Below are 26,850 nucleotides of genomic sequence, written 5' to 3'. Positions count from 1 at the left end.
GTACACTACACAATACAGAGTACACTTACAATACAGAGGACACTACACAATACAGAGTACACTTACAATACAGAGGACACTACACAATACAGAGTACACTTATAATACAGAGGACACTACACAATACAGAGTACACTTACAATACAGAGGACACTACACAATACAGAGTACACTTACAACACAGCGGACACTACACAATACAGAGTACACTTACAATACAGAGGACACTACACAATATAGACTACACTACACAGTACAGAGTACACTTACAATACAGAGGACACTATACAATACAGAGTACACTTACAATACAGAGTACACTTACAATACAGACTACACTACACAATACAGAGTACACTTACAATACCAAGTACACTACATGATACAAATTACACTTACGATACAGAGTACAGTGCACAATAAAGAGTACACTTATAATACAGGGTACACTACACAATACAGAGTACACTTTCAATAGAGTACACTTACAATACAGAGTACACTACACTATACAAAGTATGCTACACAATAGAGTACACCTACAATATCAAGTATACTTATAATAACGAGCACACTACACAATAGAGTACACTACACAATACAGAGTACACTACATAACACAAAGTACACTACACAATACAGAGTACACTACACAACACAGAGTACACTACACAATACCGAGTACACTTACAATACAGAGTACACTTACAATACAGAGTTCACTACACAATACAGAGTACACTTACAATACAGAGTATACTACACAATACAGAGTACACTACACAATACAGAGTACACTTACAATACAGAGTACACCTACAATACAGAGTACACTACACAATACAGAGTACACTTACAATACAGAGTACACCTACAATATCAAGTATACTTACAATACCGAGTACACTACACAATACAGGGTATACTACACAATACAGAATACACTACACAATACAGAGTACACTTACAATACAGAGTACACTACACAATACAGAGTACACTACACAACACAGAGTACACTACACAATACAAAGTACACAATACAGAGTACATTACACAATACACTTACAATACAGAGTATATTACACAATACAGAGTACACTTACAATACAGAGTAAGCTCTTTAAAGACTTAACCCTCTTTCCAGGCTATATGATGCCTGGGAGATTGAGGCATGTTAGCTACCTCTGCCCCAATATTTGCTGGAGGAAAAGCTTAGGTGAACACACATAGTAAATATTAAAAATTGTATATACATCTATTTTCTATGGATTTCCATTATATTATTTTGACTACTTTCCCCGACTCCTGACACATGGATTTTGGTGGCCCAAAGACAATGGTGGCAATGATGGGAAAATTTGAATTATGGGTTCTTGGTATTTTCCCTGCTTAAATGAATACAAAATGAAATGCAAAAAAATGTAATATAACAAAAAATAATAACCCCTCCATGATATAAATTTGTTATAAGGTAACAACCTAGGTATCAAACAAATCTTCCATTGAATCAACAAAATTAGTATAACTGATAGCTGAGTGATATGGAATTATCATCCACTCAATCACAGCCCCAGGAACTGATAGAGCACAAATTTCTGTATTTTTTTTTCTTTGGCTTGCTCCTGGGAATGAAGGGATAGAAAGAGAAGACACAGAGAAGTAAGGAAGTCTGTCCTGAATTTTCTTCTTCCTATGACTTAAAAATTATATATATGCCATGACTCTAGACTACATACCTTTCTTTCAGATCCAAGTCTCTGGCTTATTTATTCTACTACTTGACATCTGTTAGATGTCTTACAGGATTGTCAAAATTAATATGCAACAAATAAAACCTATCACCTTTTCTATCCTATTCCCACAGTTGTCTCAATCTATCTATCAAATTAACCCAATCCACCCCTATATTCATACTAAAAATCTAAGAATCATTTTTAGACCTTTTACTTTAACTGATATAAATTCTGTCCTATTGACATGTCAATTCTACCTTCAGAATGCATCCAGAATCTGCTCCACATCATCACCTTTTCAAATGCCACCTTAGACTAAGGCATCATCCTCTCTTTCTTGGACTTACTGTACCAGCCTCCTGTCTCTGCCTTCTCTTGCCCACCTTCACCTTATCAACACACACACTTTATACATGGAAGCCAAAGTATTATTTTAAATATGCAAACTAGATTATACCACTGCCCTATTTAAACCTTCCCTGTGTCCAGGTTTTCAACTTAATATACTTCTTGTAGTCTTGCTCATTATACTTCTACCACCCTCAACTTTTCTGTTATTCAAATACATCAAATTATTCTCTACCTTGAGACCTCTGTTATTATGGTTTTCTCCGTAATGTTCTCCTCATCCCACCTCTTCATCTTACTGGCTTTTTTTATCCTTTGAATCTCAGTTAACATATTGTTTCTACAGAAATTCTTTGGCTAACTATCCTCTTACTTTCTTTCACGGAACACATTACTTTCCTTGAAAGATATATAAAGTTTCAGAGCCAAGATCATGAGAACTAAGTGCATTGATTAGCTAGTTCACTTCTAAGCTTGCTAATTCCAGGATACCATTATATCTTTACCTCTCCTTTTCCTTGCTTGGATACAGATAGGCTGCACCCTCAACTGGCTCATCTTATAATTCCTTTTCCGGAGACAACATAAATGCTAAGATATCTTTGTTAACTTATTATAATTTTATTCTAGAATGTTCTTTCATCGGATATAAAAATCTCTCCTTTTACTTAATATTTCTTCCCTAGTTATCTTTTAAAAACACTTCTAGCAAAGACTGTCAGGTGTTTGCTCTAAGAACACATCTGTTTCTCAGGTTCAAGGAAACTCAAACGCTTAAAAGGGAAACTAAAGTGTCACATATTTGAGATCAAATTGGTTGGATGTGGGCGAAACATGATACAATTTATTCAAATCTATTTGTTTATGCTTCACATCATTCAATGAAGGGTTTGAGGTAGTTTACACAAATAATTAATTTGATAAAATTATAATAAAATAAACAATGGCCCAGATATTTTCTATAGTTGTATTCCAAACTGGGCTCTGAGTTTTCTGGCAGAAAAGATGAAAGCAGAGATTACATATGTTACACACTTCTTGTGATCAGAGAGAAAAAACAAAATTCTGTGATTCCTTAAAATAATTAAAGGCTTTCCTGCACTAATTTCATACTGCTCTTTCTTATAATGACCTTATTGCTGAGAGCAACATAAAACAACAACCAAAAAAAAACTATAACCATAAAACAATAACAACAGCAATAACAGCGATGAAATCAATGTAGTGGCATTGATTCTGTGAAAGGCTAAGGTAATGAATTTAAAATATATGTATTGCTAAAAATTATTCATTTTTTTCAGGTCACATACATTCAATTAATGTGTCTTGTGGTAGTAAACTTTTGACCAACTCTCAGCAATATACAATGTGTGCAATTGAAGTGCTTAATAAATTCTGAGCCAAGTTTTCAAAGTACCCATGCTCCACCTGCATTGTAAGTATTGCACTTTTGAAGGCTGCTATCTAATAATCTGCTACTTCATTGTGCTTAGTCTGATTCAGTACTGATTAAGTTCTCAGCTTTTCTGAGCTCACCACTCTTTTCTGTCAGTGGAAGATGATTGCCTCCAATTCTGTGCCATTTCCCGGGAAATGTATCCCTTTCAAAATGCTGCCTGAACCAATTTCTTAGCATTTGAAGGCAGAGCAAAGGTATGCTATAATGAAAAAGGCATCATCTACAGCACAATTTTTTTTGCTCAAACAAGAACCTGTGGATTTATAGATTTTAGATGGAGAAAACCAATAAATGAAATTTTCTATATAAAATTATATGTGAAGTCCTGAAAAAATTCACTTGATTTTATAATTCATGATCAGAAATTACCTAAATCTCTCTACTTGACTTCTTGCCTTCTATGCTGAAATAAGGAAAGGACAAAAAGAACTACATACATAATTTTTTTTTTTCTAGTTGTAGGATCATTGGGTTTGAAATTGGCAAACTCAGATTTTAGAAGTCAATTTCTCTAAATAGCTATGTGTTCTCAGGCAAATAACTTTTTCACTCTAAGCCTCCATTTCTACAAGAAAATAGCTGAGGAATTGGACTAGATCAGTAGCTCTCAGTTTTATCAAGGACAATATCCCCTTTTATAACAAATATTTCTAGTGCCCAAGAAAGTAAAATACCATATATGTGCATATTTCAATAGGCAAGTATTCAGTGTTGTTTCCACAGAAGAACATATTGAAGTGGTCAGATAATTGTACTTTCTTAAAATGGATGTTTTGATTTATTAGACATGAAGTGATCAGAAATCGTTTTGTAGGAGTACAGGAAAATAGAAGAGAGATAAAAGTATACATTAACATAAGAAAAATAGTGATGAGTCCATTAAGCACAGGTCAGAATTACTTGTATACGGTAGGGAAAAGAGAAATAACCTTAATGGAATTACGTTAATATGCCAAGAAATGGGGAAGTGGATACAACAAGGGACTGCAAAATAATTGGAAATAAAGTGAGCCCTATTTTTAGTTGTAGCATCAAATAATTCTTTTTTATTACATGAGAAACGGTAGTGATAGAAACAATATGCCCTTCTATGGGTCTCTAATACTTATAAGGGTCTTAAAAACCATATTTTCTGACATGCCATGGGGAATAGAGGGTGGATTAAAAGAGTAAACAGTAATAAAGAGAATACAAAGAAGTTGTGTGATCAATCTCTGAAAACACCAGGAAAAGATTGAAAACACACTGGTACACACAAAATAAATAGTTTTTACACCTGTGCTGTAGCAGGATAATAATAGAATATTATGAAATAACTAACGTTAGTAAAATACAGAGAGATCTCTGATTTTCACATCTCTACTAAATAATATTTGGTTCTAAGTTTCTTTTTTTATTGTACTTTAAGTTTTAGGGTACATGTGCACAATGTGCAGGTTTGTTACATATGTATACATGTGCCATGTTGGTGTGCTGCACCCATTAACTTGTCATTTAACATTAGGCATATCTCCTAATGCTATCCCTCCCCTCTCCACCCACCCCACAACAGGCCCCGGTGTGTGATGTTCCCCTTCCTGTGTCCATGTGTTCTCACTGTTCAATTCCCACCTATGAGTGAGAACATGCGGTGTGTGCTTTTTGTCCTTGTGATAGTTTGCTGAGAATGGTGGTTTCCAGTTTCATCCATGTCCCTACAAAGGACATGAACTCATCCCTTTTTATGGCTGCATAGTATTCCATTTTCTTAATCCAGTCTTTCACTGACGGACATTTGGGTTGGTTCCAAGTCTTTGCTATTGTGAATAGTGCTGCAATAAACATACGTGTTCATGTGTCTTTATAGCAGCATGATTTATAATCCTTTGGGTATATACCCAGTAATGGGATGGCTGGGTCAAATGGTATTTCTAGTTCTAGATCACTGAGGAATCGCCACACTGACTTCCACAATGGTTGAACTAGTTTACAGTCCCACCAACAGTGTAAAAGTGTTCCTGTTTCTCCACATCCTCTCCAGCACCTGTTGTTCCCTGACTTTTTAATGATCGCCATTCTAACAGGTGTGAGAGAAGAATCAAATAGATGCAATAAAAAATGATAAAGGGGATATCACCACTGATCCCACAGAAATAAAAACTACCATCAGAGAATACTATAAACACCTCTATGCAAACTAGAAAATCTAGAAGAAATGGATAAATTCCTCAACACATACACCCTCCCAAGACTAAACCAGGAACAAGCTGAATCTCTGAATAGACCAATAACAGGATCTGAAATTGAGGCAATAATTAATAGCTTACCAACCAAAAAAAGTCCAGGACCAGACAGATTTACAGCAAAATTCTACCAGAGGTACGAGGAGGAGCTGGTACCATTCCTTCTGAAACTATTCCAATCAACAGAAAAAGAGGGAATCCTCCCTAACTCATTTTATGAGGCCAGCATCATCCTGATACCAAAGCCTGGCAGAGACACAACAAAAAAAGAGAATTTTAGACCAATATCCCTGATGAACATCGATGCAAAAATCCTCAATAAAATACTGGCAAACCGAATCCAGCAGCACATCAAAAAGCTTATCCACCATGATCAAGTAGGCTTCATCCCTGGGATGCAAGCCTGGTTCAACATATGCAAATCGATAAACGTAATCTAGCATATAAACAGAACCAACGACAAAAACCACATGATTATCTCAATAGATTCAGAAAAGGCCTTTGCAAAATATGTCTTTACACATAAAATGAAACTAGTTTATCAGGTTCAGATAACTATAAACAGATTTTCTACCTACGTAACTATCTATCTAGAGCTACAGTTTTCAAAGTATGGTCCCCTGGATCAGCAGCATCAGCATCATCTGGGAACTAGCTAGACATGCATATTATCTGGCTCTGTCCTGAGCCCACTGACTCTGAAACTGGGGTGAGGACCGGAAATTGGTGCTGAACAATACCTCCAGGTGATTCTGATATAGGTTAAAGTTTGAGAACCACTGATCTTCCAGGAATACTTTCAAGTCCCATAGGATGTGACAGATGTCTTCGTTTGGGGTAGCTGTCCTATACATTACAGGACATCTGGCATCTCTGATTCCCACTCTCTAAATACTAGTCACATTTTTAGTAACTGCAACAACCAAAAAAGAATGCACCCACAGATTCCTAAAGTGCTCTCTAGAAGGTGCTATTCCTCCTACTGAGAAACATTGGATTAGAAAATGGCCAGTCACGTTCATGTAGGCAGCAGGAACCTAAGAGTCAATGGAATTTAGACTTGATAAGTTGAAAACTTAAAACATTTAGTGAGATTCCAACAGGACATTTGTCCAGAGGCTAAACTTGTGTTCAAACACAGACGTTGCTGAGTCTCATTCTTCTGAGGTTATTTGAAAGTGTAACTTAGCAGGCAGAGCGGAAGGGTATAAAGTGAAGCTGAAATAAATTGTAGCTTTAAATGTCTCAGGTTATTGCTTCAGATTTCAAGATTCTTCCTGAAAGCCCTAGAAGATGGCTGCTTTGCACCATTGGTTAGTTAAAATGGAGCAGATCATTAATTTCCATGATAGATTTGTAGGGTGGAGGATGTCAACCCTTATTGCTTTGTCAATGTTCCTCAGTCTCACCTAATACATGAATTTCAGGGAGTTCTTTAGTCAGACCCATGACAGATACAGAAAGACCCAATAAAGATTTCACAAGCATAGTGGAGTTATATTATTAGCAGAAATTTAAACTAGCAACTACCATGAATAGAGTTTAAAACAGCTAAAATTTCTTCATATTGAAAATTAGAACTGACTCCCAGATTAGGTTTGACATATTAGTCAGGGTATAGCTTACAATTATATTTTTGAGGTAAAATATTAATGAAAGTTGGATTGATATTTGCATATTTGTATTCTTGGTCAGTAGCAGGATACACAACATTTTAAATTATAATGATTCATTGGTAATCTGTCTTCTCACATCATTTTTTCTTCCTTTTGGCTAATTTCCTCCCCTCTAGACAATTAACATAGAAAAAAATAATTCACATGAAATGTAGTCTTGTGACTTTTATGCTAATTGAACAACTTGCTGATAAGAACAATCTACTTTTAAGACAAATTGCTGGAGTGGCAGCTCTTTAATTGATCAATTGACCTCTTGACAGGATCCAGGAAGGAAAGATATTCTCCTTCAAATTTGTGTTCAGAGCTTGTGTCATTTTCTGAAGCTTTCATTATATGAATGTTCAGTAAATTTGTGTGTGATTTATGAAATCAATGTTGCTTTTCCTTTTCCTTAGTCTCTTCTTTTTTAGTGTTTATCAGTCTTGACAATTCCCAGTTAAGATGTAAGCTTTTCAGTTAACCAAGGAACTTGTTTTGAGTATGTCATCTAAAGTCAGGGCTCTGTCCCTTTTTTATGTATTCCACAAACATGGACTGAGTACTAATGTGTGATTATCATCTCAATGCTAGTGGTTAGTAACACAAAGATAAGTAAGACATGGCACAATTAGAAATAAGACAATGCCATATGTGCTAATGAAATTTAAGTGCAGAATATAGATGAAGCACGAAGGGGGATGGTTTGATTCATTCTGACTTATAATTTCAGGGAAGCCTGCAGAGAACAGCCAACTTATGTACAGATGAAAAACAAATGTGTTTTTGGCTGCATAAATGTCTTCTTTTGAGAAGTGTCTGTTCATATCCTTTGCCCACTTTTTGATGGGGTTGTTTGTTTTTTTCTTGTAAATTTGTTTGAGTTCATTATAGATTCTGGATATTAGCCCTTTGTCAGATGAGTAGGTTGCGAAAATTTTCTCCCATTTTGTAGGTTGCCTGTTCACTCTGATGGTAGTTTCTTTTGCTGTGCAGAAGCTCTTTAGTTTAATTAGATCCCATTTGTCAATTTTGGCTTTTGTTGCCATTGCTTTTGGTGTTTTAGACATGAAGTCCTTGCCCATGCCTATGTCCTGAATGGTAATGCCTAGGTTTTCTTCTAGGGTTTTTATGGTTTTAGGTCTAACGTTTAAGTCTTTATTCCATCTTGAATTGAGAAGACATTTATGCATCCAAAAAACACATGAAAAAATGCTCATCATCACTGGCCATCAGAGAAATGCAAATCAAAACTGCAGTGAGATACCATCTCACACCAGTTAGAATGGCAATCATTAAAAAGTCAGGAAACAACAGGTGCTGGAGAGGATGTGGTGAAATAGGAACACTTTTACACTGTTGGTGGGACTGTAAACTAGTTCAACCATTGTGGAAGTCAGTGTGGCGACTCCTCAGGGATCTAGAACTAGAAATACCATTTGACCCAGCCATCCCATTACTGGGTATATACCCAAAGGACTATAAATCATGCTGCTATAAAGACACATGCACATGTATGTTTATTGCAGCACTATTCACAATAGCAAAGACTTGGAACCAACCCAAATGTCCAACAATGACAGACTGGATTAAGAAAATGTGGCACATATACACCATGGAATACTATGCAGCCATAAAAATGATGAGTTTATGTCCTTTGTAGGGACATGGATGAAATTGGAAATCATCATTCTCAGTAAACTATCGCAAGAACAAAAAACCAAACACCGCATATTCTCACTCATAGGTGGGAACTGAACAATGAGATCACATGGACACAGGAAGGGGAACATCACACTCTGGGGACTGTTGTGGGGTGGGGGGAGGGGGGACGGATAGCATTGGGAGATATACCTAATGCTAGATGACGAGTTAGTGGGTGCAGCGCACCAGCATGGCACATGTGTATGTATGTAACTAACCTGCACAATGTGCACATGTACCCTAAAACTTAAAGTATAATTAAAAAACAAAAAAACAAAAAAACAAATATACTGGACCCAGATGATCAAGGTATAAATATCTTCAGACTGAACAGTATCTGTTCAGGAGCATATTATATCTTTCACATTCAGTCATATGAATCCTAAAGATTTTACTCACTTTGTAAAATGTTTTTTTAAAATTCTGACTTTGTTAAAATTAATTTTAAGTTCCGGGGTACATGTGGGGATGTGCAGGTTTGTTACATAGGTAAATGTGTGCCATGGTGGTTTGCTGCACCTATCAACCCATCACCTAGGTATTAAGTCCAACATGCATTAGTTATTTTTTCTAATGCTCTCCTTTCCCCTTCTGACTTTTGGTAACTGAAAATAATTCACAATATATTATAATTTAGTGGATTATTCCTCTATATTTAAATGTTTAGGGTATTTCCATTTTGTTTTTCAATTTAAGAAAACTACTGTGTACAGATTTCTTAAAGTTTTGTTTGTATCTCACCTTGGAAAGTGAGGAAAAGAGAACAGGTGTTATTCTGTGCAAGGGAAAGTGCTTATAGAACGTTATGTGTTACCATCACACATGGGAAAAGGGGTAAAATCATACGAATATGTGTTGTTAGAGAATATATAGTGACTCCGAGTTACTTTCTATATATCACACAATTTATAGCTGGGAAAGACTATAACATATACAAATATATGTGTTTTTGTCCAGCTAATTTATTTTTACTCTGTATAAATTTTGTTGTAATAAAATTAGGAAGTCCATAAATTTGTGCATTTTTTTGTTTTGTTTTGTTTTGTTAGGGAAGGGGTCTTGCTTTATTACCCAGGCCAGACTGCAGTGGCACGGTCAAAGCTCACTGCTCTTGCCTCAGTATCCCGATCTAGATGTGAGCCACCACCCTCAGCTAGGAAGCTCATAGACTTTAGATATCAAAAGAAGAGGATTAGGTGTCATGCCTAAAACTAAATTTAAATGTAGTCTGTATTTTAATCTAATATTTCACCTGATGGTAGATAAACTTAATTTGGACAATTCTAGGTAAAATTAGTAAATCTGGGTTTGTTTTTAGAGTCTTTGGTGTTATTTAAGCAAATTGATTTTTCTTCCTCTTTACTTCTTATAATTGCATCTTAATATTGAGGGACTATCAGAGGAAGGGAGAGGTGGATATACATGGCATCAGGATATCAAGAGAAGGTAATAATGAACATATGCTGGCATCCACTGAAAAGCGTCCTGACTGGCCTTTGGCCATTATCATCCCTTCATATAGCATTTGCTGGTGTCCATCTTTACATCTGCCTGCAGCTGGGTTGTCCACTCTGCATCTGGGAAACCACTTTAGAGCCTATGGCTCTCTATCCCCAGTTAACTTCTTCATCTCTCTTAGAGACCTAGGGAAGGTGTGGGCCTTCCCTGGGGTCATGGGAAATTAGTAGTGTTGCTTCAGGCACTTCAGGCATGTGAAGTCTCAGGCAATCATCTCTACTGTGCCTGCAATATGGTGGCATCTGAAACTCCTGTTACGGCTTCTGGGGGTCCCACATGTATTGTCCTTATTGCTATTTTGAAGAGGGATTTAATAGATCTCTTCTATTATTGGGTCTAGCATCTTGTGAGTCTCCTGCCACCTTCCTTCTTAATGCTAAGTTGGAGCAGGTTCAGGACTCTGTCTTAGAGAATTCCCACCCCACCACCGTATTAGTCTGTTTTCACACTGCTATAAAGATACTACTTGAGGCTGGGTAATTTATAAACAAAAGAAGTCTAATTGACTCACAATTCCACATGGCCAGAGAGGCCTCAGGAACCACAATTATGGCAGAAGGCCAAGGGGAAGCAAGGCATATCTTACATGGTGCCAGGAGAGAGAGAGAAACCAGGGGAAATTGCCACTTATAAAACCATCAGATCTCACGAGAACTCACTTGCTATCATGAGAAGAGCGAGGGGAAATCCCCTCATGATCAAATCACCTCCCACCAAGTTCCTCTCTTGACACATGGGGATTACAATTTGCAATGAGATTTGAGTGGGAACACAGCCAAATCCTATCAACCACCTTAAATGCTGACTTGCAGCAGGTTTAAGACTCCATCTTGGAGACTTCCAGCAGTGCCATCTCCTTGTCTTCCACTCACAACCCAGAAAGAATCTCATTGTTAAAAACTTCTTAGGTAAAAAAAAACCAGTAGCTCAACAACCATCCTCTCATATTTTTCTGTGTTTACAATTTGATCCTTAGTTTAGTTTAGTTGTTTTTTAAATTAAACTAGGAATGTCACTCCCTTTGTGGATCTTTTCTCTTGAGGGATCTGGAGGTATTGGTTTCAAAAGCCTAAATGGACAGAGAATTCCTTCCTGCTCTTTCCCTCCAAGTATAGCTACAAACCTGGAAATTATGCAAGGGGTGATTGAAATAGAACTCTGAAAGGCACAGAGAGGAAGGAGAACTTGTCAGGGAACCCAGGATTGGAGGGACAACATAGCCACAGGGCAACTCCCACCCAACAAAATAAGACAACTCAGGTCTGGTGTTTCCAACCCCCAACCTAGCAACAGAGGATGGTCTAGCTGGCTCATTCCTCACCCAGACTGACTGTATGCCGCAGACAACACCAGTAGAACAGGCAGTGCCTTCAAGGGTAAATCCATTGGAAGCTCTGCTGAAAATAATTGTCCAGGGAAAGTTCTCTCCTTCCCTGCTGGGACTAAGACCCTTCTGTCACCCAAAGACACCCAGCAGCCTAGTGGCACTGGCCAGGGGGTTTTTCCACAGTAAGCAGACAGGAAAGCAGACTTATCTTTTAGTTTCTTCATCCCAGGGCCAAGACTCCTTCCCCCACTGAGGGAGATGGGGGAAGCCATAGCGCACTGGCCATAGAGACTCTGCCACAATAGATCCTTACTCCTGTGGCCTTGAGATTCTCTTCCCCAAATCTGGGGCAACACGAGAATCTCCTCCTTACTGGACAGTACCAGAAAGGACCAGTGGAAGCCCCAGAGGTACCAAATTAACTGAGCCAACCACCATCGCACTGCAAAGACACTGAAAATTACATTGCCATTGAAGTCACAGCCCAAAAATGTAGGCCAAGACCTGTGTGCTCAATTTAAATAGGATGACTGCTGATAAAACAAAAGACCTAAAGAGGACCCAGAATCTCCTAACATAATAGAAAAAATATTCAGTGTACAATAGGAAGTCACCTGTTACACCAAAGGCCTAAATGTGGAGTCAGGGAAAGAGGAAGCATATGTGTGAATAAACATTGGTTCACAACTCATAGTATCATTTAACCAAATGAAATTTTTTTCTTGGTATATTTTAGTTAAATCTGGTATACTTAAGTAAGTTAAAAAGTTGAATCTGTCTTAATTAGGTCTACATTTTTCTGAATAAACCATAAGTGGAAAGAAGCCAATGACAGATAGATACCTCCTAAAATCTCACTTCTAATTTGTCCCATTTCCCATACTCCAACTTCTGATGTTACAACCTTGGAACAGAAGGGACGGGGAGAAGTAGGCCATGCTATAATTGATGAGAGTGACAGACCAGGGTGAGGGAATACCCTAAATGCTCTGAGGCCTGAACTCTGGTACATGGGTTTGTCCAGTGGCATCTTGTCTATTCTGATGCACAACACCAACCACATTCATTCCAAGGGAAGATGTCTGAAGGCAGAGGTAAAATTCTGCCCTAGCATCCAGGTTCTGAGTAATCAGACATTTGCTGCCTTCTCTCTTCCCACTTCTCTCCTCCCCACTCTTCTTCTCTCTCCTTTCTCCTCACTAGTGTCTCCTTTGGTTGAACACTATGGCTTATTAGAGACTGCAGAGGCACATGAATTGGAAGGCTCACTGATGATAATTTTCATTAAAGAAAATATTAACAATAACTTTGTTAGGTAAAAAATTAGAAAAATATTTAAGGGCTTTGATGTATATATATGTTTGTGGTTTTAGGTTGCTCTATTTTCTAAATTTAGGTATTTGTATTTTATACTGTTGTATTGCTGTTGTTGATTAGGCAAGCTAGAAGTTATCTTAATTTTTTTCCCAAATGAGGTCTTGATCTATGGTTTCATTTTTATTCAAACATTTTAATGACCACTGTTATCTTTTAAAGAACTATATTCTGCTTTTTTAAACAATTTGATTTGTTTTCCTTTTTTACATTTTTAGTTATATATGTTCATGCTTTCTTTTTTAACACTGAAAACATTTAGAGCTTCAGGAATACTGAATTTTTGCTTTGTACTATTCTAATTTTTATTATTCCTCTGATCCTAATTTTCTTTTTTCCATTAGTTCTCATTATTTATTTTTAAAAATTGGATTTAAAAAACTATTACTATTTTTATTTAATTATGATGACAAAGTGTGGTCTATTTAATTTACATTATTTATTAAAATTTTAGTAGAGACAATATATACCAATTATTCTAAATTTTCTGTGGAAGTTTGGCAATAAGATATAAGGTATCTAATGAAGTATATTCTCTTTTTGAGGGTAGCGTGTTCACTATTCTTCTTCTGAGTCAACTTCATCATATTATTTTTCTCTATGCTCTTAGGTAACTCATAGGCCTTTAACTTCCCGGGTTTTCAGGGACTGTCACTTAAAAAAACAGCCTATGATAGTTTGAATCCCCCTCCACTTGATGAGCAGAGATTTGCCTCTTTTGGGGGGTTCTCATTTTCAGACATTGATGATGGGAAGGAAGGAATGAAGGTATGTCTCCAGGTTTAGATACACTACAGTCCAACCTGCTGTTTGTTGGTCACCTTAGCCAATCCCCTTGTTTCTGACAACTGTTACACTTTCTATAGATCATCATTTCTCACTAGTAGTTGCTATTTTACACAGCCCCTCTTCCAAAGCACAGCTAAAACCAAATTGTAACATATAACAAAACAGACTCGTGGTTGTGTTGATTTTTCTAGGGCTGCTGTAACAAATTACTGCAAACTTGGTGGCTTAAAACCACAGAAATATATTCTCTATAGTTCTGGAGGCGAAAAGTACAAAACCAAGGTGCCAGCAGGGTCACACTCTCTCCAAAGGATCTAGAGGAAGGAGAATTTTTTCTTGCCTCTACCAGCGCCTGGCATTCCTTTGCTTGTAGATGCACTGCTCCAATCTCTGCCTCCAGAGAGTTCCTCTGCCTTTTCCTCTCTGTGTATCCCTTTTTGTCTCGAATAAGAATACTCCAATTAGATATACAGCCCACCTAAATGTAGTATGCTCTTATCCAGATCCACACCTTGATCACACCTGGAAAGACCCTATTTCCAAACAAGGTTGTGTTCTGAGATTCTGGGTAGACATCAAGTTTTGGAAGACACTATTCAACCCACCATAACTGGTATGAGCAGAAGAAAATCATGATAGATAGAAGAAAGGGAAAAAAAACTAAACACAGGCCGGGTGCAGTGGCTCATGCCTGTAATCCCAGCACTTTGGGAGGCCGAGGCAGGTGGATCACGAGGTCAGGAGATCAAGACCATCCTGGCTAACACTGTGAAACCCCATCTCTACTAAAAATACAAAGAAATTAGCCGGGTGTTGGGCATGATGGTGGGCACCTACAGTCCCAGCTACTCAGGAGGCTGAGGCAGGAGAATGACGTGAACCTGGGAGGTGGAGCTTGTAGTGAGCTGAGATCACGCCACTGTACTCCAGCCTGGGTGACAGAGCAAGACTCTGTCTCAAAAAACAAAACAAAACAAAACCAAACCAAAAAACTAAACACAGCAGAGTTCAAATGGATACTGTTATGTATGATGCTAATAAAATATTTTTCTCTCTAAAATATCTACAGGCTCAATTAAGATGTGGATTTGACTTATTAAATATTGTCAACAACAGTAAAATAAACCAAAGAGGAGGAATAGAACACAAATGGAATTACTAGGCATCACATCTATACATATGTTCATAGTAAATATGTATTCCCCTTTAGATAATTTGTATTTAGATATTTATTTTGTTCCCTCTCATGTTTGTATGCCTCTCTAGGGAAAAAACCATGCCTCATTCCTCTTTGCCCATTAAAAATTTTTCTATTCTTCAAGTGCCCAAAAGCTATGTCTTTGAAATTTGTATTAACAAATGTAATACAGTAATAGTGCTAACAAGTGCAATACTAGAACAAGTGCAATACAGCCTCAAATCTACACTAAAATAGAAAAGATGGAAATCTGAATGATTTTAACAGCAAGTAGAGGAATTTTATCTCAAATAAACTTAATCGTAAGTGCTTTTACTATTATTTTAAAATCTCCATTACCAAAAGCAGAGATATAAGAAGCTTTGCAACTGACTGGTAGAAAGACTTCTTTCTTCTCTCCACTCTGTAATCTATAGAGAATCTGCATTTTAAGACTGATTCCCCTTGTGGTTGTCAGAAAATTGCCAGAAGCAGTTGATAATGACCTCTTAGAGCCTCTCTCAGCCTTCCCTTTTAACAGGTAAAGGAAATAGTCCCCAAAGAAATTAACTATTTGGTTCGGAGACACATTAATTCATTAATTTAAAAATATTTATTTAATGCTAATATGTGTAATATATTGTTCTGAGTGCTGGGGATGGAATGGTGAAATTAAATAGACAAAACTTCTTACCCTTGTAGGGATTACATTTTAGTAAATGCAACCAGTGCTGTTGATAAATCAAATTTGTGGTGTGTAAAAATGGTTTAGGATGGCTTTTAATAATCTGGTATAAAATAAGTTCTTTATAAAATGCACAATGATTTTAAGAAAATATTTTAACTGATATCAATATTATTGGGCCTGTTTGAACAAGTTTTAAGTTGCAAAACTTTATATCAACTCACTTAAAATTATAGCTATTACTTTAGCCATAGTTAAATTAATGCCTCAATATTTCACACCAGCTGATACAATAAATTTATGAGCCATTCTAGCCCAGTGGCAACTTTTCTTTAGAGTAATAATGACACAAGCTATTCAAGTAACCATTCTACCCAGGATGATTAATTTGACAGTAAAAATAAGCTCAGTTGCCAGTGTATCATCCCTATCTACCTAAGTCCTCCCCCAAACCAAAACAGAAACAACAAACATGTTTTCAGTTAACAAATATGATAAAGGTGTAATGAGCCTCTTTGTTGATTGTTTCATTTGATTTCATAGCAACATCTAGTCATCTCCACACATGTATAATTATCTGTTGGCACCTCATTTTTCTCTCTGATGAAGAAAGTACTACAAAGAAATATTACTAAACTAAGGCTGAATTAATTTTTTATGTTGCTGAAAAGATAGCGTGATAAAATACAGTAAGAATTGACTTTGGAGTTAGATGGTACTATTTTCAAATTGTGGCTCCAGTATTTTCTATTTGTGTGATTTTTGGGAAAGGTACTGAAGCTTTCAGAACTTCAATTTCTTGATTTAGAAAGTAGAAATTGGTGGGAAGTATGATTAGATGCAATTAATATATAGGAAAATAAAACAGCTGAAAGCTTGGGACATTGGAGGCATTCAATAATTTTTTTTACGGGTTTTAAAAATAATCTTTATTTTTAAAAAGTTAATATGTGCAACATAGGAAACTGAAAAACACAAGAAGCAAAGAACAAAGTCATTCACAATCACAATCAGTTTATAGTTTGACATGTTCTTCTAGGTCCTGTGGGTGTGTAGGCACAACATCCAATTTTATGGGACTGAGATCGTACAGTATGTATCCTGCTTTTTCACACATCATGAATATTTACCAATTCAAAATCCCAAAGCTATATGAGTATTTTGATAACTAAGAATACACTATACCAACTCAATCTGTTAAAAAAAATGTAATCCTGCCTTTCTTGGGACAAAAATTTCATAGAAGACGAAAATGGCAACACGCCTCTAGATAAAAGCATTGGCAGAGTTCCGATTTAAATACTGCATTCCCTTAATGCTCAACTTAAAATGAAACATACAGCAACAGAATACACTAAGTATAATGTTTCTAAGATAATTCATTAGCAGATCTATAGCACTGAAATATTAGCAAGGTATATTTCCATTAAATTACTTAATGTATTCCTATAGTACAGCCAAAAGAGATGCACATACATCAATGGCTATCGTCAACATGTAAATATGGACACATCTGCACACATCTCTCCTATATAATTCCTTCTGCCCCTCTGCTGCCAACCTAACGAACAAGTCCTGACATATACTGCTCAGAGGTGGTTAAACAATTCCATGTCCAAGACGCATCTTTTCTATCAATTATAACAAAGGTATTTACAAATTGGCTAATTCACTAGCTCTAGTTTTTATCATATATTGTCACTCCAGACATCCATAAAGTTTAGATATTGCAAAATAATGAATTTGTCCACAATAAACACAGGGAATTTACTAAAAATGCTCATATAGACCTGTGGTTAACATCTAAAACCATCTTCTAGATATGGAGATACTAGCAAAGAGCCCTTCCCTTCACCCTTCCTCTTCTCCCTTTTCCACCATCCCCAGTGGCTAAGTATAGGACGTCTAGCTCCTAGGGACCTAATAAAGGTCACTCCCAGAAGACGGACCTTCCTAAAAACTAACAAAAGGACATTTATAAAGGGATTGTTTTACTACATCTAGTTTTAACATACTTTGAGCATTAGGAGTTGTTTATCCTTTAATATACAATATTAATTAAAATACACATATAGAACAATGGTCAGACCATCTGAACTAATCTAACTCATGGGCTCAGAACCCTTCTCCCTGCATACTTCCTCCTCCCTAACCCATCGCCACCCAATGAATAGTCAGCATATGCTCCTAAGCATCAAGTTTAAAAATTCCATTCCCAAATGCAACCACTCCTAGGAAGTAATGAAAACAAATACTGAGAGGGGTGTTACTTTAGCCCTTTACTTTTAATCTATGTTGTGCACTTTCAAACACCTAAAAAGACTAGATGTTTCAAATTGGACTAAAGTTTTCCTTTATATACACAATAGCACTGAATAAATGGTGCATATACATAACACAGACTCTAATTTGAGTGTCTTCTAAATAGGAACATTCTGGCCCAGAACCCTTCCCTTTCCGACCTCTACCAACCCCAGAGACAGCTTTAAGCCATCTGTAATGCTTAAGGGGGATTTTAACAATTTCACTTCTGTGTTTTTAAGACGTCTTCCCTATGAATTTTAACACAAAGTGTACTCAATGTATTAGTTTACTAACTCTACTTTTGTCATACACTGGCAACCCTTTAACATCGACTAGATGTAAATTAGGACTCTTTTGTCCACTTATATACACTATATACACAGCACAGTAAATGAAAATGCAGACATAAGGGACAATGGTCAATGGGCATCATCATAAACACACTGGTAGAAAGCCCTTTGCACTTTGTGCTCCTCCTTTCCTATGAACCAGCACAAATATAATAATGTGTACTGCTTAGAGAACTGATCAATTTCCATAAGACAATATTTCATATCAAAAGGATAGCTACAAAATGTGTTATTTACTACCTCTACTTTTAACAGACTTTGTGCACTTCTAAACATCTAGAAAGACTATGTTTCTACCTCTACTATATTTACTGCCTCTGCTTTTAACATATTTTGGGCATCTCTAAACATCTAGAAAGACTTATGTTTCAAATAAGGACTTAAGTTTGTCCACTATGGACACAGTAGTGTTGAATAAACTACACACATGTAACAGTGGTTACATCTGAAAGTGTCTTCTAAATAGGAGCATTCTGGTCTAGAATCCTTCATTCCTTCCAACTCCTCTCCACCACCAACCTGGTGGATATAGGTATATGTGTCACTTAGAGCTGATGTTATCATTTCACTTTCAAAAGTCCTTTTCAGAAGACAGCCTTTCTATGAATTTTAACAAAGTGTACAAAATGTGTTAGTTTACTAACTCTACTTCTGTCACACATTGGCAACCTCTTTAATATCTAGAGACTAGATATTATAAAATCGGGACTCATTTGTCCAGTATATACACAATATATACAGTATAGCAAAGTTAAATGAAATGCATGTAACATATAGGCAATGGATTAAGCTGAAATTTTCTAATAAACAACGGCAAAACACCTTTTGCTATTTCTTCACTCTCATCTCCCAGGTAGCTCAACAATTCCACTTCCAAACAGCATTTCCTATCAGTTTTTAAAAGCTGTTTACAAAAAGTGTTATTCTACTACTGCTTTTAAATACATCAAGCACTTCCAAATATCTAGAAAAACTAGATATTTCATATAACTTGTCCACCACGTACACAGCACTGTTAAATAAAATTGCACACATGGAACAATGGTTATCAACTGAGGTATCTTCTAAATGTGAATATTTTGGCCTTCAATCATTCCCTCCTCACTTCCTTCTCTCTCTGACTTTAATACAGTGGACAAATACGGGCACATGTAATGCTTAGGGATGGTTGAACAAATTCCTATGCAAAAGTCATTCACAGAAGACAAGTTTTCCTATGAATTTCAACACAAAAGCATACAAAATATACTAATTTTACTAAATACTTTGTCATACACTGGCAACCTCTTTAACATCTAGAGACTAGACTAGATGCTGCAAAATTAGGACTCACCTGTCCATTATATACACTATATACAGAGCAAAACAAAATGCACAAAAGATACAGAAAAATGGTGTCTGAAAAAGTCCAACTATGAACATACTAGCGTATTACCTTTTGCAATTTCTTCCCTCCTACCTCTTCTAAACCATTGAACAAGTATAGACAGCACTATACTTCTCACAAAGGTGGCTTCACAATTCAATTTCCAAAAGACAGTATTTCCTATGAATTTCAGCAAAAAGATATTTACAAAATGGTATTTTACTACCTCTACATTTAACATTCATCAGGCACTTCTAAACATCTAGATAGACTAGATGTTTCAAGTAAGGAGTTAATTTGTCCACTTTGTACAAAGCAGTCTTGAATAAACCGCAAACATGTAACAACAGTTATAATTTGAAAGAATCTTCCAAATATGAACGTTCTGGCCTAGAACCCTTCCTATCTCCAACAACCCAGTGGGCAAGAATGCTCAAATTTTCAGAGGACAATCTTTCCTAGGACTTGTAAAACAAAATGTACAAAATATATTAGTTTACTAACTTTACTTTTGTCAGACACTGGCAACCTCCTTAGCATCTAGAAAGACTAGATGTTGTAAATTAGGGCTCATTTGTCCTTTATGTACACTACATACACAGATAAGTAAAACAAAATGCACAGAAATAGATGATTCATCTTGCCCCGCTGTAGGCAGGGTGGCATAGAGCTCTCTGCACTTTCCCCTCTTCCCTCCTCCCCTGAACCAGCGCACAAACACAATGAGTATTACTCAACAGGTGATTTGGCCATTCCCCACCAAAGCAACATTTTCTATGAATTGTAACAAAAAGATACTTACAAAATGTGTTTTTATTACCTTTAATTTTAACATATATCAGGCACTTCAGAACATCTAAAAAAACAGACATTTCAAAAAAGCTTAGCATTGTCAACTATATATAAGGTAGTGAGGAATAAAATGCATACAAAACTATGGATAGAATATGAAAGTGTCTTCTAAATATGACCAGTCTGTCATAGAACCTTCTTCTCTTCCTTCTCAGGTCTTCCAGCTCCATGTCATCTAACCCACTGAACAAACGTGGATGTATCGCTTCCAGGGGCTGTCTAATAACTCCATTTCCAAAAATCATCTCCAGAAGACATTTATTTTGTACGACTTCCTTTAAACAAATGAGAATTTACAAGATGTGACTTTCTAACTCTACTTTATCATACGTCAGGAACCTCTTTCCATCTAGAAGGGCTAGATGTGACAAATGTTTTCTATCAACAGGCTAGGGTGGAGTTGAGGGCAGGTTTTTCATATTGTATACACAGGCCTTCCATAAATGGCCAGTAAATCTTCCCAAAGGGTGGTGGGCATTTCCAACGGGCCAAAAGTGGCCTGTCATTCTACCATTTCTCCCAACAGCAAGATCTGGTAGAAGGAAGACCAGCCGCCCCATGGCCCCTAACCTTCCACCCGTTTTTCGGGACTTCGCTCACCTCCCAGGCCCCTTAAGGCCTTTGTCGGTATGTTAAGGCCTTTGTCTAGGTAGGTCTCGCCCAATGGGGACAGATCAGTCGCCCAGGGTTCCGGATCTACGCAGCTCCGTGGCCTAAAGAGACAGCCGAGCCTGCGTGCGTCCCTAGGCCGCCTTCCGGTTCCGCCACGCCCTAACGGCTTCCATCGCCTGGCGTTTGGGTGGCCGCCATGCTTCCGGGCCCGCCACTCCCGCCGCCACCCAAAGACACTGCGTTCCGGCAGGCTTGGGCTGGGAGACCCGGTGTTGGGTGGGGTCCCGGCAGGGACAAGCCGCTGCCGCCATCAGTCACCGAGGTGGGGTGGGGATGAGAGGTTCGCCGCGGCTTCAAGACCTGGGTCCGGCCAGTGGGCAGCCACATCGGAGGCCTCAGGTGTCTGCAGGACAGAGGGCGCGGCCTGTCCTGGGGACCCCCAGCTCACCCGCCGGCCCGCGGCCGAAGGGCCTGGAGGGCCCTGGGGGAGCGGGCCACACTCTGTGTCTCTCTAATAAATCTTAGTATAGCTAAAATTCTAATTAATGTAATGAATATAAACAACCCACTATTAAGATATTAATTTAGCCAACAATCAATTTTGATAAATCACTACCGTATTGTTGCTTTTTAAAGGCCGTCATCTGAAAATATGAATTCAAAATAGGAGAATATCTTTGTTCACTCATTTGTAAAAAGACAGTGTAGTAGCAAAGTGGAAAAACCAGCAGAATAGAAATTAAGAAACTTAGTCTCAGCAAGGCCATTTTCTATTTGTGTGACATTGGACAAGTCAGGTAGTACTTTAACATGACCCCGTATATGTTCCCTGTTTTCCTGCTTAGGTTTGCCGCATGTCACTTTCCCCTCTTTATCCATTGTTGGAATGGGTTAGCCTCTCTCCCACCTAAAACCTTTCTAAAGTGATGCCTAGCCTTCTTTTACTTTTTGCCGGGGTAACTCCCAATCATCCGTGTGATTTCAGCTTCAAAATCCCTTAATCAGAGAAGGCTTTCCTCACCTTACAATCTAAATTATACCATACTGTTATAATTTACGATTGCACCCTTTTCTTCATAGCGTTTGTTATAGTTAGTAGTATAACATATTTAAATCCTGTTTCCTTTACTGGATTTAAGACCCATGAGCACAGAATCCATGTTGATTTTATCATGGCTATATCTTTCATGCCTTTCTTGTCTAACGCCCAGAAAATTCTCAATAAGATTTTAAAAATAAACTCTCCAGATCTTGATTTCCTCCTCTGTAAATAGTGAATAACAATCACAGTGTTGTTGCAATCAATATGAGTTAATATATATTTTAGTAATAGTAATCCAGTATATTATTTGAATAAACCAGTTTTCATTACTAATAAACTAGTGTATCTCAGTATAAAAGTTGAAGGAAGACATTTTATAAACATACTTTTATATAATTATGAAAACACTTTTAAAATACACTGGACAATGCACAATTCAAAAGCTTTGGATTCAAAGTGGGCCTGCCAAACGATGGATATTTCCTGTGGGACTGTTACCAGTCTTTCAATTGCAGTCCTGATTGAGAATGCTGCAGTTGGAAGAAGTGTTTTGCAATGACAAAGGAATACTGGTTGAACTCTGATGAGTAGACTTATCATGTGTGGCAGGAAGTAAGGTTATCTGTGTCCAGGAAACAGATGGAAACCCATAGACTGCTTATGAAAGAAATGAATTCAGGGGATTAGAAAGTCATACCATTTAGTTTTGAGGGGAAATTATTGACGGAGTTTGCAGTAATTTGGCTTGTCATCCCCAACATCTGTTGCCTTTGCCGTTACACCACTTAGCTCCTGATGACAAATTGAACAAGATCAGAGTGAGTGCATGATAACTAATAAGCATCTTCATGGGTAAAATCAGTTAACATCAAAAACAGGCCAGTGGCATTAGTGTATGCAGTTTCCTGGTAGTAGTCTCTTCATTTTCACTATTCTTAGATAATTCTTTCACTCCTCAAGGATTCCTAATCGTCTCTATGCCGTCTAGAAAAGACTTTAATTATACTATCTTGCTTATAGAAGTGGCCCTAAAAGAAACACATGTGTAATACAATTATAAGAATATCTGATATATGTTTTCTGATGTAGGATTATCAATCACAGTCATATCTATAATGAAACTGGAAGAAAAACTACACAGAAAAGAATTCAAAGTGATTTGGCACTGCCTTCTGCTTGGCCCATCTGCTGTTATTTTTTTTCTCCTACTGGCAGAACGTTAGACAATATTTCAACTTAGCATCTCATAGGCAGTTAAACAACGGACAAGGTAAACTATATTAAAGTTCCATTTTTTTTAACTCTGTATACTGTTTTGTTTTTTTCCCCTCAGTTAAGAGCAAGGTTAAATAGATCATTATGCTTTATTTGATTCAGCATGTTTCATTCCTTAGAAAAAATATTTTACATATCTGGCTTTCCTTTATACTGTGTAGTGGATAAATTGGAGTTCTGTTCCATGGACAAAGAAACTGATGTACAGTATTCCCCCCTTATCACAGGGGACTTTTTCCAAGACCCATAGTGGATGCCTACAATCACAGATAGTACCAAACCTTATATAGGCATACCTCATTTTATAACACTTCACAGATTTTGCAATTTATTTTTAACAATGAAAGATTTGTGACAACCCTGCATCAACCAAGTCTATTAGGGTTATTCTTCCAACAGCATGTGTTTACTTCATGTCTCTGTGTCACATTTTGGTAATTCTCACAGCATTTCAAACTTTTTCATTATTATTATATCTGTTATGGTGATATTTGCTGATTTGTTGATGTTACTATTGTAATTATTTGGGGTACCACAAACTACACGCATATAACATGGCGAACTTAATCCATAAATGTTGTGTGTGTTCTGACTACTCCACCAACCACCTGTTGTCCTGTCTCCCTCCCTCTCCTTGGGCATCTCTGTTTCATGAGATATGACAATAATGAATTTAGGACTATTAATAACCCTACAATGACCTCTAAGTGTTCAAATGGAAGGAAGAGCTGTATCTCTCTCACTTTAAATCAAAAGCTAGAAATGATTAAGCTTATTGAGGATGGCGTGTTGAAAGCTGAGATAGGCCAAAAGCTAAGCCTCTTGAAACAAACAGCCAAGTTGTGAATGCAATAGAAAACTTCTTGAAGGAACTTAAAAGTGCTACTCCAGTTTTAATGGTCTGGATAGAAGATCAAACCAGCCACAACATTCCCTTAAATCAAAGCCTAATCTAGAGAAAGGCCCTAACTCTCTTCAATTCTATGAAGACTGAAAGAAGTGAGAAAGCTGCATAGAAAAGTCTGAAGCTAACAAAGGTTGGTTTATGAGGTTTGAAGAAAGAAGCTGTCTCATAACATAAAAGTGCAAGGTGAAGCAACAAGTGCTAACGCAGAAGCTGCAGCAAGCTATCCAGAAGCTCTAGCTAATATAATTGATAAAGGTGGCTGTGCTAAACAATAGATTTTCAATGTATATGAAACAGCCTTATATTGGAAGACGATGCCATCTAGACTAGAAAGAAGCCAATGCCTGCCTTCAAAGGACAAAGGGCAGGCTGATTTTCTTGTTAGGGCTAATGAAGATGGTGATTTTAAATGGAAGCTAATGTTCATTGACCATTCTGAAAATCAAAGGGCTCAAGAATAATGCTAAATCTACTCTGCCTGTGCTCTATAAATGGAACAACAAAGAATGAATGACAGCACATCTGTTTACAGCATGGATATTTTAAGCCCACTGTTGAGACTTACTGCTCAAAAAAATTCCTTTCCAAATATTACTGTTCATTGGCAATGTATCCGGTCACCCAAGAGCTCTGATGGAGATGTACATGGAGATTAATGTTGTTTTTATGCCTGCTAACAACATCCATTCTGTGGCCTATGGATCAAGGATTAATTCTCACTTTCAAATCTTATATAAGAAATACATTTGGTAAGGCAATACCTGCCACAGGTTACGATTCTTCTGATGGATCTGGGCAAAGTAAGCTGAAAACCTTCTGGAAAGAATTATAGCATTCTAGATGTCATTAAGAACATCTGTGATTCATGGAAAGAGGTCAAAATATCAACACTAACAGGAGTTTGGAAGAAGTTACTTCCAACCCTCATGGATCGCTTTGAGCAGTTCAAGACTTCAGTGGAGGAAGTAACTACAGATATGGTAGAAATAAATAACAAAAGAACTAGAGCTAGAAGTGGAGTCTGAAGATGTGATTGAATTGCTGCAATCTAATAATACAACTTGAATGGATGGGGAATTGTTCCTTATGGATGAGCAAAGAAAGTGGTTCCTTGAGAAGGGATCTACTCTGGGTGAAGATGCTGTGAATATTGTTGCAATGACAACAAAGAATTTAGAATATTTTATAAACTTAGTTGATAAAGCAGCAGCAGACATTGAGAGGATCGTCTCCAATTTTGAAAGAAGTTCTACTGTTGGGTAAAATATTATCAAACTGCATCGTATATGACAGAGAACTCTTTTGTGAAAGGAAAAGTCAATCCATGTGGCAAACTTCATTGGGGTCTTATTTTAAGAAATTGCTACAGCCCCAAAACAAAACAAAACAAAAAAGAAATACGATTTGTAATGACTTCTGGATTCTGCCAAAAAAAAGAAAAAGAAATTGCCACAGCCACCCCAATCTTCTGCAATTTCTGTCCTGATCAGTCAGAAATCATTAATGTTGGGGCAAGACTCTCCACCAACAGAAGATTAGGATTCACTGAAGGCTCAGATGATCATTAGCATTTTCTAGCAATGTAGTATTTTAATATTAAGATATGTGCATTGTATTTAGACATAATGCTATTGCACACTTTAAAAAATTTATTTTTATTTCAGTAATTTTGGGGGTACAGGTGATGTTTGGTTACATGGATAAGTTCTTTAGTGGTGATTTCTGAGATTTTGGTGCACCTATCACCCAAGCAGTGTACACTATGCCCAATGTGTAGTTTTTTATCCCACACCCACCCCACACCCTTTCCCCTGAGTCGCCAAAGTCCATTGTATCATTCTTATGCCTCTGCATCTTCATAGCTTAGCTTCCACTTATAAGTGAGAACATGTGATGTTTGGTTTTCCATTCCTGAATTACCTCTTAGAATAATGGTCTCCAATTCCGTCCAGGTTGCTGTGAATGTCATTATTTCATTTCTTTTTGTGGCTGTTATTCCATGGTGTATGTATATATATACCACATTTCCTTTATCCACTCGTTGTTTGATGGGCATCTGGGCTGGTTTCATATTTTTGCAATTGTGAATTGTGCCACTATGAGCAACCATGTGTAAGTGTCTTTTTCATGTAATGACTTATTTTCCTC

The 26,850-nt window shown here is 37.1% G+C and overlaps 2 long non-coding RNA genes across 4 annotated transcripts in view; one reads left to right on the top strand and one right to left on the bottom strand.

The window, feature by feature from the left end:
• Nucleotides 1-19,636: 19,636 nt before the first annotated feature.
• The window catches only part of LOC105376193 (uncharacterized), a 45,342-nt gene continuing 38,128 nt past the window's right edge, over nt 19,637-26,850 (top strand). For 2 of the 3 annotated variants that reach the window (XR_930194.2, XR_930196.2), the window contains exons 1-2: nt 21,666-21,877; nt 23,610-23,790. This is a non-coding gene — a long non-coding RNA (uncharacterized LOC105376193). Of the gene's footprint in view, nt 20,494-21,021; nt 21,878-23,609; nt 23,791-26,850 lie in introns of those variants that run through there. The other variant, XR_930195.2, reaches the window with a different exon arrangement.
• On the bottom strand, nt 20,811-21,584 carry LINC03094 (long intergenic non-protein coding RNA 3094). The gene is made up of 2 exons (NR_109803.1): nt 21,467-21,584; nt 20,811-21,141 (listed from the first exon to the last, which is right to left on the bottom strand). It is a non-coding gene; the product is annotated as a long intergenic non-protein coding RNA 3094 (long non-coding RNA).

The sequence above is a fragment of the Homo sapiens genome, chromosome 9 (genome assembly GCF_000001405.40).
Source record: "Homo sapiens chromosome 9, GRCh38.p14 Primary Assembly".
Taxonomy (NCBI): Eukaryota; Metazoa; Chordata; class Mammalia; order Primates; family Hominidae; genus Homo; species Homo sapiens.
Note: the sequence above shows the minus strand (reverse complement) of the source record. Positions and strands in the feature narration are given on the sequence as shown.